The 13,862-nt window shown below is 48.2% G+C and overlaps 1 protein-coding gene across 6 annotated transcripts in view; it reads right to left on the reverse strand.

Annotated features, from left to right (window-relative positions):
• The window catches only part of ABCC8 (ATP binding cassette subfamily C member 8), an 84,348-nt gene that overhangs the window by 61,687 nt on the left and 8,799 nt on the right, over positions 1–13,862 (reverse strand). For 3 of the 6 annotated variants that reach the window (NR_147094.2, NM_001351297.2, NM_001351296.2), the window contains exons 4-6: positions 9,254–9,420; positions 7,402–7,641; positions 6,304–6,492 (exon numbers count right to left, since the gene is read on the reverse strand). Coding sequence is in view for 5 of the 6 variants with exons in the window: in NM_001351297.2 (NP_001338226.1) it covers positions 6,304–6,492; positions 7,402–7,641; positions 9,254–9,420 (596 nt within the window). In the remaining variant the exon portion in view is untranslated. Of the gene's footprint in view, positions 1–6,303; positions 6,493–7,398; positions 7,642–9,253; positions 9,421–13,862 lie in introns of all 6 variants that reach the window. The other 3 variants (NM_001351295.2, NM_000352.6, NM_001287174.3) reach the window with 1 other exon arrangement.

The raw sequence follows: 13,862 nt of genomic DNA on the forward strand, positions 1-13,862 counted from the left end.
GAGGGCACATCCACAATCAGAATCAGGCAGAGAGGGCCCAGGCTCTCATTGGAGGCCTTTCCCTAGAGTCAGGGATTCCTGGATCTTGGATCAGAGCTTCCTGATGGTGGCCTCTCAGTTTAACAGAGGTTCTCTAAGCCAGCCCTCACTGCTCCCTGGAGCTGTCTGGTCCTGCTCACCACTGTCTCTACCATGATCTGTGCGACAGGGGTCTGTATCTGTTGGTGGCAGCAGGAAGCAGCCACAGGGAGACCACTGAGGGATGCGTGCAAGACTCTAAGAGGAAGGCCCTACCGAGGCTCTCTGTCCCATTTGCCAGTGCACCAGAGGGAGAGGCAGAGGGAGGAGGTCGAAGGTAGAAGGGCAGGGGTGGGCTGGAAGCAGAAAAATGGGCCTTAAAATTAGGCTGCAGGGAGAGACCTGAATTTCCAGGGGAGGAAGGGGCAGGAGACAATATTTATCAGGTGCAAAACTCTATCCTCACAATACCCTAATGAGGAGGGTACCATTATTAGCCCCATTTCATACATGAAAAAAAGGAGTTTCAGTAGGGTTAGTGGCTGGCCCAAGGTCACATGCTGGTAAGGGGACAACATGTGAACATGAACCTGAGTGATGTCAAAAACACTACCCCAGACCCACTGTCTAGGCCTCGTCCAGGCCTTTGACCTTAAGCATCCTAGTGTCAGTTACAGGTTTGTGACTTGTGGGGGATGGAAACTTGCCCCCCTGGCTGGTACTGGGTCAGAAATATAGGCATGTGGGTTTAGGAAGACCCGGTCCTTTTTAACATGCCCTGGGATTCTTCTGTCCCACTGTCCTCTGCAGAGACGCAGCTCTGGAGACTGGAGTCCACTATTTTAAAGCAACAACACATCATGAGAATTTATCCCAAAGAAAATAATTTCACATAAGGTAATAGCTGTATGAACACAGACATTTATTTTGGGGTCAGAGCAGAAGGAGAATGCAAAAACCCATATAAATTTCCAACCACAGGGAATGGTTAGGTAATTAAGGTACTCATGGGAACACTATGCATCCAAGACCACTGATTCTCATGAAAGCTCTGGAGAAACATGGAATGCCACACACACGCTGTGTTACAATGAGCAGAAAACACACAGGCTGGAGAATGAGGGCTGGAAAAGCCAACTGATCATGTTTGTTCGTTAGACTATGGGTGTTACTTAAATATACTCGTCGGTATTTGTGCATTTTTAACAAAACAACAAATTCTGGTTTTGCAGCTCTAAAGGCTGCAAAACCTTTGACTTCCTCTCTCCGCCCCCAACAAAATAACCTAGGGTCAGAAATCTACTTTTGTGGATTGAGAATTTTGTGACCTGTTAAAATAAAAATCTCACTGCAGCTATAAGTCATTGGGTCATTATTAGACCTCTCTTCAAAGAGTTGGTTTAAAAGGGATAGAACCTGGAATAGCTAAGTTTCAGTTAAGAAGTGGGTACCTGACTAGGCGTGGTGGGTCATGCCTGTAATTCCAGCATTTTGGGAGGCTGAAGTAGGCAGATCACCTGAGGTCGGGAGTTTGAGACCAGCCTGGCCAACATGCTGAAACCCTGTTTCTACTAAAAATACAAAAAAATAGCTGGACATGGTGATGCATGCCTGTAATCCCAGCTACTTGGGAGGCTGGGCCAGGAGAATTGCTTGAACCCAGGAGGCAGAGGTTGCAGTGAGCTAAGATTGCGCCAGTGCACTCCAGCCTGGGAGACAGAGTGAGGCTCCATCCAAAAAAAAAAAAAAAAAAAAAAGAAGTGGGTACTAGACTAGCCAAGAGGCCTGCCATGCTGCCCAAGGAAGGCAGGCCCTGTTGGAGTCTACCGAGAAGAGGGTCCTAGGAAACGGGGAGGGGATATGATAGCACTGGTCAGCACCCTGCAGGTACCAAGGCAAGAGAGAAAAGACCAAGGACCTACAACCTGACACTTGGTGGAAGAAAATGCTTTGGAAAATCATAGGCCCTAGTCTTGCATTTTCACAAGCTCTCAGGGAAGAATTGTGTTTGTTTCCAGGGATTTCCCCAGTAGTGCTCAATACCGATTTTTTAAAAGCAATCAAGCCAATGATCTTCATGCCCCCATGTACTTTCTACAGAAGTTATTACACATTTTGCATTTGAGGCTTGCAGAATGTGACTGCTGAGGAGAATAAATGAGTTAGCTGCAGAGGTAGGACTAAAACCCAGCACTCCCGACTCTACAGTTTGGAGCCCCATTGTCTCTGCCAGGCCAGAGGTATGATTGGAAAGGTCCCCTTCACATGTTCTCTGGTGCTTAAAGGAGAGGGGATCACTTGGACTCTTGTTTCCTATTTTGGCAGGTGTCAAAAGGTGAGTTGTCCGTAGGTCCCAGCCCCGGGAGGCCCTGGGTAAAGAATAAAATTATCTTTGGCCACCCAGAGACCAACACACCTACCCATTCATACAAGACTGTTTGACACGGTGGTTAAGAGCCTGGACTTAGAGGTCCTGACTCATCATATATTAGCCACTGTGTCCTTAGGTAAGTTCCTCAACCTCTCTTAGCTTCAGTTTCCTCATCTGTAAGGTGAGGCTATGAAGGGACTTCAGAGAGTTGTTATGAGAAGTCAATGTAACAGTGCATGTGAAAAAACAGTAAGTGTAAGCACTCAATATATAGTAATTGCTGCATTATTCCTTCTTTGCAGAACCATTTCCCGTGCATCTCCTGGGTGTCAGGCAGTGGGCTGAGTGCTGGGCACACAGAGGTCAGGCAATAGGGGACAGAGGATCAAGTCAGGGAAAGAAACAGGGCGCTTTGATAGGATGTTATGTGAGCACAGATAAGGGGCATCTAATTCAACCAGGTGAAGGCTCCCTGGAGCAGGTGACATTTGAGCAGAGTCTTGATGGCCAAGAAGGAGCTAGTGAATTGAAGGCAGGTACTCTAGGCCAGACCAGCTGCATGGACATGGTTATGAAGAGGCCAGCCCATGCATCAAAACCACAAAGTCACAGAAACACCAATGCATATACACTCATTAAGTCACTCATAATGATAGCCACAAATATGGCAATCCAAACGGGGGCATAGACACACACACATGCACACACACACGCAGAAAAAGACACACCAAAAGACACAGGGACAAACAGAACACACATATAGAACCATAAGCAGTTCTTAGGGGAACTCATTCGGAAACACATACACCCTCCCAAACCTACACATTTTCCTACTGAGACTTAGAGGCTGTTTGAAGCTTTAGCCCTTCGATCAAACCCAGACTGTTCCTTCTTCCTTTGGCTCAACTGATAGCCCAGGGCAGTGCTGGCAGGTTTCAGACACCAGCAGCTCATTATGAATCTAATTCTCTTGTCCTTCAGCCAGATCAGTGGCATCCATGGGAGGTGACAGATTGGGAGTAGGGGTTGGGTTGGAGAGGAGGCTGGAAAGAGCTATAGATCATAGGCAGAGCCCAACCTGGGTCCCAGCTTTCCCTGGGGAGTGGCAGCGGGGTGACAGGAGCATCAAAGATCTGGCAAGTCACAGACACTTTCAGTAACTAAAGAGGACATCAGAAATGTTCGTCCTTGCGGATACCAAGGATGACATGTTTCTTGCCAACTCTGAGTATCTTAGGAAGGAAGAGTGATGATGAATAAACCACAGGTGCCTCGCTGTGCCAACTGCTGCAGGATGGATTCAGGCTGGGCAGAAAAAACGGCTTCCTCTCCCAGACTGTGAAACACTGCAACATGTAGCTAGGGAGCTTCCTTCTTTGTCATTCATAAAGACCAGAATAGCACTCGGTTCTCTCTGGATTAGAATGGCTTGGGGGCTGGGAGATGAACCAAATGATCTCAGTAAATGATCCCTTTCCCCCATTTTCTGAGCTCAGAAGCCCACATGAGAATTAAGCCACATCCCAGGCAACCACATGATGGAGAGTTCTTTGTTGCGGACACTGGAGACTATATTTACTTTCAACTCTTGTTTCTGTGTCGGAAATTTTCTGATTGTGTTTGGGCTGCAGGGAAAAAATATTAAATCTGATAAGGCCCACTGCCACTGAGGCAGGGCCATCTGTCTCAGGGATTTGTGTGCTAAGTAACTGGGACAAGAGCATTCCAATGAGACGGTAATAAACCCCAGGGTTTGTGTATAAACAAAGAGAAAAAAACGGCAATGATAACGTTCAGATGAACTAAAATTCTAAGTGCTTTCGCCATCTCTTTGGCACGTCCTGCCTCAGAGCTCTCTCCTTAGCAGAATCCCACAAGGGTTTTGGGAAACACAGGAAGAAGAGCGTGGTGTGGACACTCTGATAAGGGCTCTGGCCTGTGCCATTTCCCCCTGATATTAACAACTGGCTCCATGCTGCTTCAGGATCGCCAATGGGGGTATTCTGGGGTAGCCTATGGTCAGGCTAGAGCCAAAGGTGACACTCCTGTAGACAAGAGAAGCAGCCGCTTCCCCTCTCTTTTATGGGCCAGGTAAAGTAGAGAGGCTCAAAAAGCCAGATATGGCTTCAAAAGCCATCAAAGTTTAAATAAGCAAAAGTGGTCCTTGCATTCTTGGTTGAGCAAGAAATCTTCCCATGGCAGCCTGGCAAATTCCTACTCATCCGTCAAGACCCCTTTCAAACATCCCCTCCTCTATGAAGCTGTTCATGACCACTGGCTAAGTTAATCACTATCTTTTCCCACAATTCCCTGAATATTCCTCCTAAGAGTCACATGTAACACATAGCATAAAAGTATTTTATTTTGATTTCTCTCCTCACTGTTGGATTTCATAATCCTTGGAGCCAGAGGTGATGGCTTGATAATAATAGTCAATTTAGCTTCCTGGCTGTAAATGCCCAGACTGTGGAGTGAGTCTTGTGTTCAAATTCTGCCTCTGTTATTAACTAGCTGAGAGACCCTGGGGAAAATTACTTAAACTTTCTGAGCCTCAACTTTCTCATCTGTAAAATGGGGATAAGAATACCTATCATCTCATAAACTGTACAGTATTTGAGGTATACCACAGTAAAGATGTTGCAAAATATACTCACGCCAAAGGATAGTTTTAGGGATTAAATAACACATGGATAACTCCTGCACACAGCCAGGTATGTATTATGTGGTCAGTAAGTGGCTGTTAATATTGTTAATCATCCTCATCATAACTATTGCTTTCATATTCCCACAGCCCAACCCAGGCCTGGCACACAGCAGTGTTCAATGAAAGTTTGCTGCATAAATCAGACTCAACGTATCTCATATCTGTGGCCAAAACTGTTCAGCTGACTAATTATGTCTCCAGAAAAATGAACATAAACCTCCTGAGGATTAACTGCTGGCTGCGATTTTGGAGCTCATGAGATGAACAAATGTTACGCAAAGGGTGTCATAAATTATTAAAAACCCTAATTCCCCATTCTCTGCATTATTTTCAGACTGTCTGTGGTTAAAATGTTATAATGACATCCTCACTTGGAAACTAAAACTCTGAAACTTATTAGGGGTGAAAAAGTTTTCATTTTGTGGCCATTTAAACCTAAACGGCTGCAAGGAAACAGACAACAGAGCACAGTCTGCCCAGCCCCCGAAGTGGATGCTACGGCCCCACGCAGGGCAAATAACCCCGGGGAAAGGTTTTCTAGCTCCAACAAATTTCAGTTTGCAGAATCGTTACAACTGCCAAGGCCATTGGATATAATCTAGTCTAATAAGTCTCCAGTGTTTTTTAAGCCATGGAAACTTTTCTTAAAAAAGAAATTTTAATGGAAAAGTCCAACATATTAATAAAACTACGGGCAGCTTTGAATGAAATTTGGAGTGGGGAGAGACAAAGCTCCACTCGTGAGGGTTTCCCACTTCTCTCTCCTCTGACAGTAGCTCCCAAGATGCCCCTGCAGAAAGCTCAAGTGCCAGCCTTTACAGGACTGAAGAAGACAGATCTTGAAAACTTTTAAAGAGTTTACTAAGATGACATGAACTGAAAGCCAACAAATCCAAGTCACAGAAGCTCTAGACACTGGACAAACAAAAGCACTTCCTGCAGTTTTCGGACTGACCTAACTACCGGGAGAGGTACTATGGTAGTGACGGTGAGAGGAGAGTAGGATACCCTTGGGGCATAGGCTCGCCCTCTGGCATTTCTGTTGACCAGATGTAGAGTATTCTGTGGTGGGGATACTGCTATGGGCTTTGCGCATGTGTGAGGAGCCACTCCAGTGTGGCCATGGCTCACACACATTGGCCTGTTGCACTCTCAGAAACAACTGAAAACCATCTAGAGGGTGCCTTACCCTACCCCTGGGGCTGCCTACCTTGGGCTGGAAGACGTCGTTCTCCTTCCCAAGGTGGTCCACGATCCCAAAGATGCACAGTGGCCCGGCGAAGCCCAGCAGGTCGGCCAAGATGCGGAAAGTGCTGCTGAGGACCAGGCGCCTCCCGAAGGCATGGCTGAGTGCCTGCCAGATGGCCCGGGCACCTTGAGTGCCCTGAATGTCCTTCCGCTGCCCAGAGAGACCATGGCCAGGTCAGAGTGCCTGAGGGCTAATTCACGGCTGGGCCTAGCCTCCCAGGATGCCCCTAGCTCCTGTTGTCTGGGGAAACCCAGTGGTCACATCCTCTGCAAATAGGTGAACTCCAGGAAGAGATCATGGAATCAGCAAGTGCACAGTTGGGAGGGCCCTATCAACACCAACATGGTCTAGATGGGGAAACTAAGGCCAGATGATTGCTCAAGGTCACACAGCTGGTCAGGGACTATGTGATGAGCACAGCACTGGAATGAGGAGGTGGCCATGTGCCACACTCACTCATTACCACCTGCCACCGTGTCTGCCTCAGCAACTGCCCTGGTGCGAGGGCAGAGGAAGTGAAGGAGCACTGGACTGGGAGCCAGGAGACTGCCTCTGCCGCCTGCCAGCTGTGGCCAGCTCTGGGCAGGTCACAGCCTTTCTCAGGGCCTCAATTTGCTCCTCAGTGATATGGGGAGATTCCTGTCTGGCTCAACTCATAGAGTTACCATAAGGATCAGGCCACTAACACCCCTGCTCCAAATCAAGTGAACACTCCAACCTTTATAGTCAGTAAGCTGCAGAGGAAAGAGCACAGGGATGTGAGAGTCCAGTGGGGTCACTTCCCTTCTCAGAGCCTCAGTTTCCCCATCTGGATAAGGACTTTGGACTAGACGACCTAAACGGTAAGGGCCATTCCAACTGTGCCTGTCCTATGAATCCTCAGCCCTGCACCTGTCCCTGGTTCACTGTGTGACTTAAGGCAAGCTTCTTCCCCTCACCAGCCTCAGTTTCCCCTCTTGTCCCACCAGGATTTTGACCTAATGCCCTTTGAGGTCCCTCTCTGTGACCCTAAACCAGAAGGCAGTGAATAGATGGTGTGGCTGTGCCCCCACTGACCACCTGGGCGTCAAAGGCCTCGCAGAGCCGTTGGTAGTTGGTGAGGGCCCTCATGGCGATGGGCAGCTTCCCGATGGCTCGCAAGTCGATGGGCTTCTTGTGGGCAGTCTTGATGAAGGCGTTCATCCACCAGTAGGTGCCTTTGGACAGCAGATTCACGAAGGGCTGCAGGAAGCGTACCCCCAGGTCTTGCAGGTCCTCGGGAGGCTTCACCTCCCTCGGTGTCTTGAAGAAGATGTATCTCTGTGGGGCACATGGGCCATGGGGGATGGGTAAGTCCAACTTCTCACCACTCCCTACCTTGCCCCAGCAAGGATCTGGGGTTGTGATATTCCACACTTGATCTCTAACAGATGGGGCCATCTTTCGCCTGTAATTATTACCAGGAAAAGGATTCCCCAACACTTCTTGGCCACCAATGTCAGGGCATCCTGACTTTGTAACTGCTCATTGAGGTCGACTTTGAACCCCCCATGGCTAGGCTGGGTTGGGTTTAGGTTGGGTTGGGGAGGAGCAGGAATCTCTCATATGCTATCTTCTCCACAGATCTAAGGATACCACCATGTTTCATATACAGTTCACAGAACTCCAAGTCATGCAGACCTGGTTTTGAATCCTGCCTCCTCCACTTACTAGCAAGGTGTTTTTGGACAAGCCTCATCTAAAATGTTTCCTCATCTATAAAGGGGATGGTGCTTGCATCACAGGGTTCCTGTGAGGGTCACTGGATGGGGGGACACATAAGGAGCTTTGTGCCCTGCAGATCACCAACTAAAAGCAGAAGAGTCAGAGAAATGCAGGCAGTCCAAGTTCGAAAGGGCTGTAGCCCTCACTGCTGGTTGGAAGGCAGGGAAAGGGTTTTCTCACTCATTGCTGGCAGATTACAGTCTTTCTGGAAGGCAATATGTAACACTGATCAAAATTTAAAATACACAGACCCTTTGACCCAGCAACGCCATTCCTTGGACTCTCTCCCATAGAAATAAAAGCAGCAATACATAAATATATAAGTATGTTCAACACACCATTATTCATGAAGGCAAGAACTTGGCAACAAAGTAAATGCCCATCCATAGAGAAATAGCTGAACACATTATGGCTCATCCATACGATGGAATATTATGCAGCCATTAAGAAAACGGAATTAGCCATATCAGATGGCTTGGAGGGAGTCCCAAGAGATATTTGTTGGGTGAGAAAAGCACAGTGCAGAAAACTGCATAATATGATCCCATTCTTACAAGATAAATACCGTGGGGGAAACCTACATATTCACTTGTGTTGAGAGGAAAAAACCTGAATAGGTATTTATTTAGACAGACACATATGGTATTATACTAATAAAAACAAAGCATGGGAAAGACAAACGAGTTCATTAGTCTGGGCTGCCTGGGGAGGTAGGGGCAGGGGAAGGGGAAGGTTGGAGTCTGGGGTGAGGAAGAGAGAGGGAGGCGGGAGCAAACAGAAAGGAAAACAAAACACTTACTCATTCATTTACCAGCGTGACGATATGAATACATTAAAGCAAAGTCCCCCACCCCCGAAGAAAGAAAGTAGGAGAGGCCAGTGCCTGATGCTTATCTTCCCTTTCTACGGAAAGTCATCCGCCAACCTCAGCGAACACACCCATCACCCCCCTCTCCCTCTGGGACCCTGGGGTAGAGCACACGTGGGCCAGATGCAGTGTCTATCCTGAAATTTCCGCCACGGCCCCACTCCCCTTTACACGGGCGGGTAAAACAAGCTGATCCCTTCTCAGTTTGGCTGAGAAGCAGGGTGGGGGCCTGAACCCAGGGCAGGACAGAGGCCAGAGCCTCTGCTTCCCACCCCACCCTGGCCCAGGTGGCCTGCTTACCCTCACCCTGATGACATTGACCTCCACGAGGAGCAGCATCCCATAGAGGATCACCAGCAGCCCTGTGAGGCAGAAGCGTAGCTGCGAGAAGCCGATGGCGTGGTCCAAGAACTTGACAAACTTGATGGTCTTGGTGATGAAGGCCAGGGTCCAATACACCAGCAGGGCTGCCGAGGAGAGATGGAAGATCGCAGAGACGTGTGTGCATCATGTGTGTACACTCACATAATGTGTGCAAGTATGTGGCAGAGAAGGAGACAGAATAAGCGTGCCTGGGTGTGTACATTTCCGAGTAAGTGGATGTGCACGTGTGAATATATCAGAGTACATGACTCTAAGATGACGCACGTACGTCTTAACATTCATGAAAAACACCAATAATCTCATAAATCAAACTGGTCAGACAAATGTCCCTTAAAAATAAATGATCATGGGAAGAATGGGAAATTTATTTATTGAATTTAACTAAGTTACAGGCACTGTGCCAAGTAAGCACTTTAAACACATGATCTTATCTATTCCTCACCATAACTTTTCAAAGAAAGTACACTGCCGTCACCCCCAATTTCTCAGACAAAGGAAATGAGGCTCAGAAAGGTTAGGTAACAGATCCAAGGCCACACACCCATTAACTGGCAGAGCTGGGCTGGCCTGACGCTGGAGCCCATGCATGCAAGCTCCATGCTATAATGACTTACTTGTGGAATTTCCAAGTGAGGGAAATCTTAAAGGTCATTCAATCCAGCCTTTCATTTTACAGATGAGGAAACTGAGGCCCAGAAATAGGATGTGACCTTGCCCAAGTGCACTGGCAGCTAGGGACAGAGAGAGGGTGAAAGCCTGGATCCCTGTCCTCACAGTTCAGAGCCCACCACAGCATGATGATGGAGCAGGGGCATGGGGGATACGGAAAGAGCCAGCCACAGTTCTGTGAGGCAGCGTTATACAGGGGTTAGTGGTGGTGGCTCCGCAGCCAGATACACCTGGGCTCAGAGCCTGTGACATAATAGCTGTGTGACCTTGGATTAGTCACTTAGCCTTCTAGAGCTTAGTTTCCTCATCCATTAAGTGGGAATCATAATAGTGCTACCTAGAAGGTTCTTGTGAGAAACATATGGAAAGCATTTAGTGCAGTGAGCCTCACACGCAGCGGGTGCTCTTTGGACATTAGCTGTTATATTTTTATTATCTCCAGATTTAAGACCTGGGGAAGGTAAACCTCAGAAGCTATCAGTAGATTCTATCCTAAATTCTCGCACACACACTCACTTCAATCTGCCAATAAATCACTGTCAGCTTCCAACAACCAAAACCAGCAATAACCTGTGAAGTCCCCCTTTGAGGGTGGGGGAGATTTTAGCACTGGCAGCTCCTTCCCTCCTCCCTCCTAGACCAGATGCGGATAAGGTCAGCTTCATGACACAGAGCCCCTCTCCAGAGGACCCGAGTGAGGGAGAGAGACTTTCACCCTGCCCTCTATCCCTATGTGGGCCTGGGCATGGATGCCAGAGCATCTCTTGGGCACAAATCTGGGATCTGTCCTGCCTGGCTCAGGGTTAGGAAACAGGTTGAGATGTTGGGCCCCACCATGCGCCCAGGGCTGAGCTCACCCGGGGGGATCGATGCCATCCACCTTGGGTCCCTGCAGGAGGACATTAGGATGGAGGGCAGAAGCATCGGCCTTCTGCTCTCATGCCTCAGGACTGGAATAATGTCCCCCAGCTCAGGCTGGTCTCTAGGACTGGAGGAATTCCACAGCTGAAGGCTGTCCCCCTGCCTCCACTCCACTCTGCCGGACAGATTCTATCCCAGGCATCAGAAGCCCTTTAGCCCTTAGTGAGAGCTGCCTACAGGAGCCGAGACTTGAAAATATGCCTCATGCTTGTCTTGTCCCTAACACTTAACAGATATGGTCTGCTTTGCTCTTCATTACAACCCTATGACTTAGGCAGGGACTTACTCTTCCTGCCCAGGTGGGGAATCCGAGGCTCAGAGAGCTTGGATGTCTTGTGCAAGGTCACACAGGGAATTAGCAGTGCACCCAGGACTAGGCCCAGAGGTTTTTTGCATAGTCCTGTCCTGCAGTGCTGAGTGCTCAGCCTGTTGTCAGACACAGAAGTACTCAGCAAAAGCTGAATGCCTGATGAGAGAAGAGGGAAAAGGAAGGAAAGAGGCATAACATGGGGGCTGCTGGTGAGCTCCCATTACTCCTCCTTCTCCCTCTATTCTTCTCCCTCGCCCCACACCTCTCCCATTAACAAATGCTGTCTATTTCACGTCCTAAATAGCTTGACTCTATCTACTTCTCTCCATCCCTGTGGTACCACCTAAGTCCAGGCATCATCATGCGTCCTCTGTATTCCCGCTATACCCTGAGAGCCTTCTCATTGGTTTCCACACTTCCTCCCCATCTTGTTCTCCTCCAAGCTGGTCTCCATAAAGCAATTATTATGATTATGTCGAAAACCCCTCAATGCACCCATGTTCATAGCAGTGCTATTTACAAGAGTCAAGAGGTGGAAGCAACCCACTGACAGACGAATAGATAAACAAAATGTGGCATATCCATACAGTAGAATATTAGCCTTAAAAAGGAAGGAAATTTCAATACATGCTACAACATGGATGAACCTTGAGGACATTATGCTCAGTGAAATAAGCAAGTCATAAAAAGACAAATAGGCCAGGCAAGGTGGCTCTCGCCTGTAATCCGAGCACTTTGGGAGGCCGAGGTGGGCAGATCACAAGATCAGGAGTTTGAGACCAGCCTAGCCAATATGGTGAAACCCCGTCTCTACTAAAAATACAAAAATTAGCCAGGCGTGGTGGCAGGTACCTATAGTCCCAGTTACTCAGGAGGCTGAGGCAGGAGAATCGCTTGAACCAGAGAAGCAGAGGTTGCGGTGAGCCGAGATTGCACCACTGCACTCCAACCTGGGCAACAGAGCAAGACTCCATCTCAAAAAAAAAAAAAAAAAAAAAGACAGTGCATGATGCCGCTTAGATGAGGTACCTAGAGTGCTCAAATTCATAGATAGAAAGTAGAATGGTGGTCGTCAGGGGCTGTAAGGAGGGAGAAATGGGGAGTTATCATTTAATGAGTACAGAGTTTCAACCTGGGAAGATGAAAAAGTTCTGGAGATGGATAGTGGTGATGGCTACACAGCACTGTGAATATACTTTTTTTTTCTTTTTTTGAGACAGGGTCTCACTCTGTTGTCCAGGCTGGAGTGCAGTGGCACAATCTTGGCTGGAGTGCAGTGGCACAATCTTGGCTCACTGTAGCCTCCACTTTCCAGGCTCAACTGATCCTCTCTCCTCAGCCTCCCATGATACTCCCACCTCAGCCTCCCAAGTAGCTGGAACTACAGGTGTACATTACCACGCCCAGCTAATTTTTATGTTTTTTGTAGAGACGGGGTTTTGGCATGTTGGCCAGGCTGGTCTCGAACTTCTGAGCTCAAGCAATTCACCTGCCTTGGCCTGCCAAGGTGCTGGGATTACAGGCATGAGCCACCATGCCCGGCTGTGAATATACTTAATGCCACAGAACACTATACTTAAAAACAGTTAAGATGATAAATTTTATGTTAAACATGTTAAACCACACACACACACACACACACACACACACACACACACACACACAACTTCCCATTGCTGTTGGGATAAAGGCAAACATCTGTGGTATGACCTTCCAGGTGGGTGCGGTGGCTCACGGCTGTAATCCCAACACTTTGGGAAGTTGAGACCTGATCACTTAAGGCCAGGAGTTCAAGACCAGCATGGTCAACAGGGTGAAATCCCAACTCTTCTAAAAATACAAAAAATTATCTGAGTGTGGTGGTACACGCCTGTATTCCCAGCTACTCAGCAGGCTGAGGCACAAGAATCCGCTTGAACCCAGGAAGCGGAGGTTGTAGTGACCCAAGGTGGTGCCACTGCACTCCAGCCTGGGCACAAGCAAACAAAACCCAAAGTCCAGCTCCCCTCCACTTTGCACCCACGCCACTCTTCTTCTTCTGAATTTTCTAATGTGTTTTGTTCCTTCTGCCTTGGGGCCTTTGCACATGCTGTTTCCTCTGCCTGAAGCACTCTTTCCTCCCTTCTCCCAGTTAGTTCCTTCAGTTCTCAGCTCAAATATGACTTTTTCAGAGAACATTTCCTTGGCCTCATCTGGGTTCCAGGATCATGGTTCCCTCACGGGACAATGTAAGCTGCATCACAGGTCCCCTTTCTGTGGGACTCCATACCCAGGCCAGACATCAGCCCCTTGGAGGGCTGGCCATTCTCCCAATACCCATTTCCTTCTGTCCCTGCAGTTCACAGGCACGTCCCCTCCACTTTTCCCTGTTCTAGAATTTCTGGCTCTGTGGAGTGTCCTTTCAAGGGGAGATAACTCCAACAAGGGGAATGGAGGGAGTTAGTCTTTGTTCCTTAGAAAAGGACAAATCCATCCACGGGTGATAACTTGTGCTTTAAAGAGAGAACATTATGTGTTTGCTGGAGAATGAGAAAATGAACTCCTCAGATGTCCAGACAGGGTGTTTCCAGAGGACACTGGTCAGCCAGGCCCTGGTTAATGAAGGGTTCTCTACAGACAAGGAGC

The sequence above is a fragment of the Homo sapiens genome, chromosome 11, assembly GCF_000001405.40.
Source record: "Homo sapiens chromosome 11, GRCh38.p14 Primary Assembly".
In the NCBI taxonomy this organism is placed as follows: domain Eukaryota; kingdom Metazoa; phylum Chordata; class Mammalia; order Primates; family Hominidae; genus Homo; species Homo sapiens.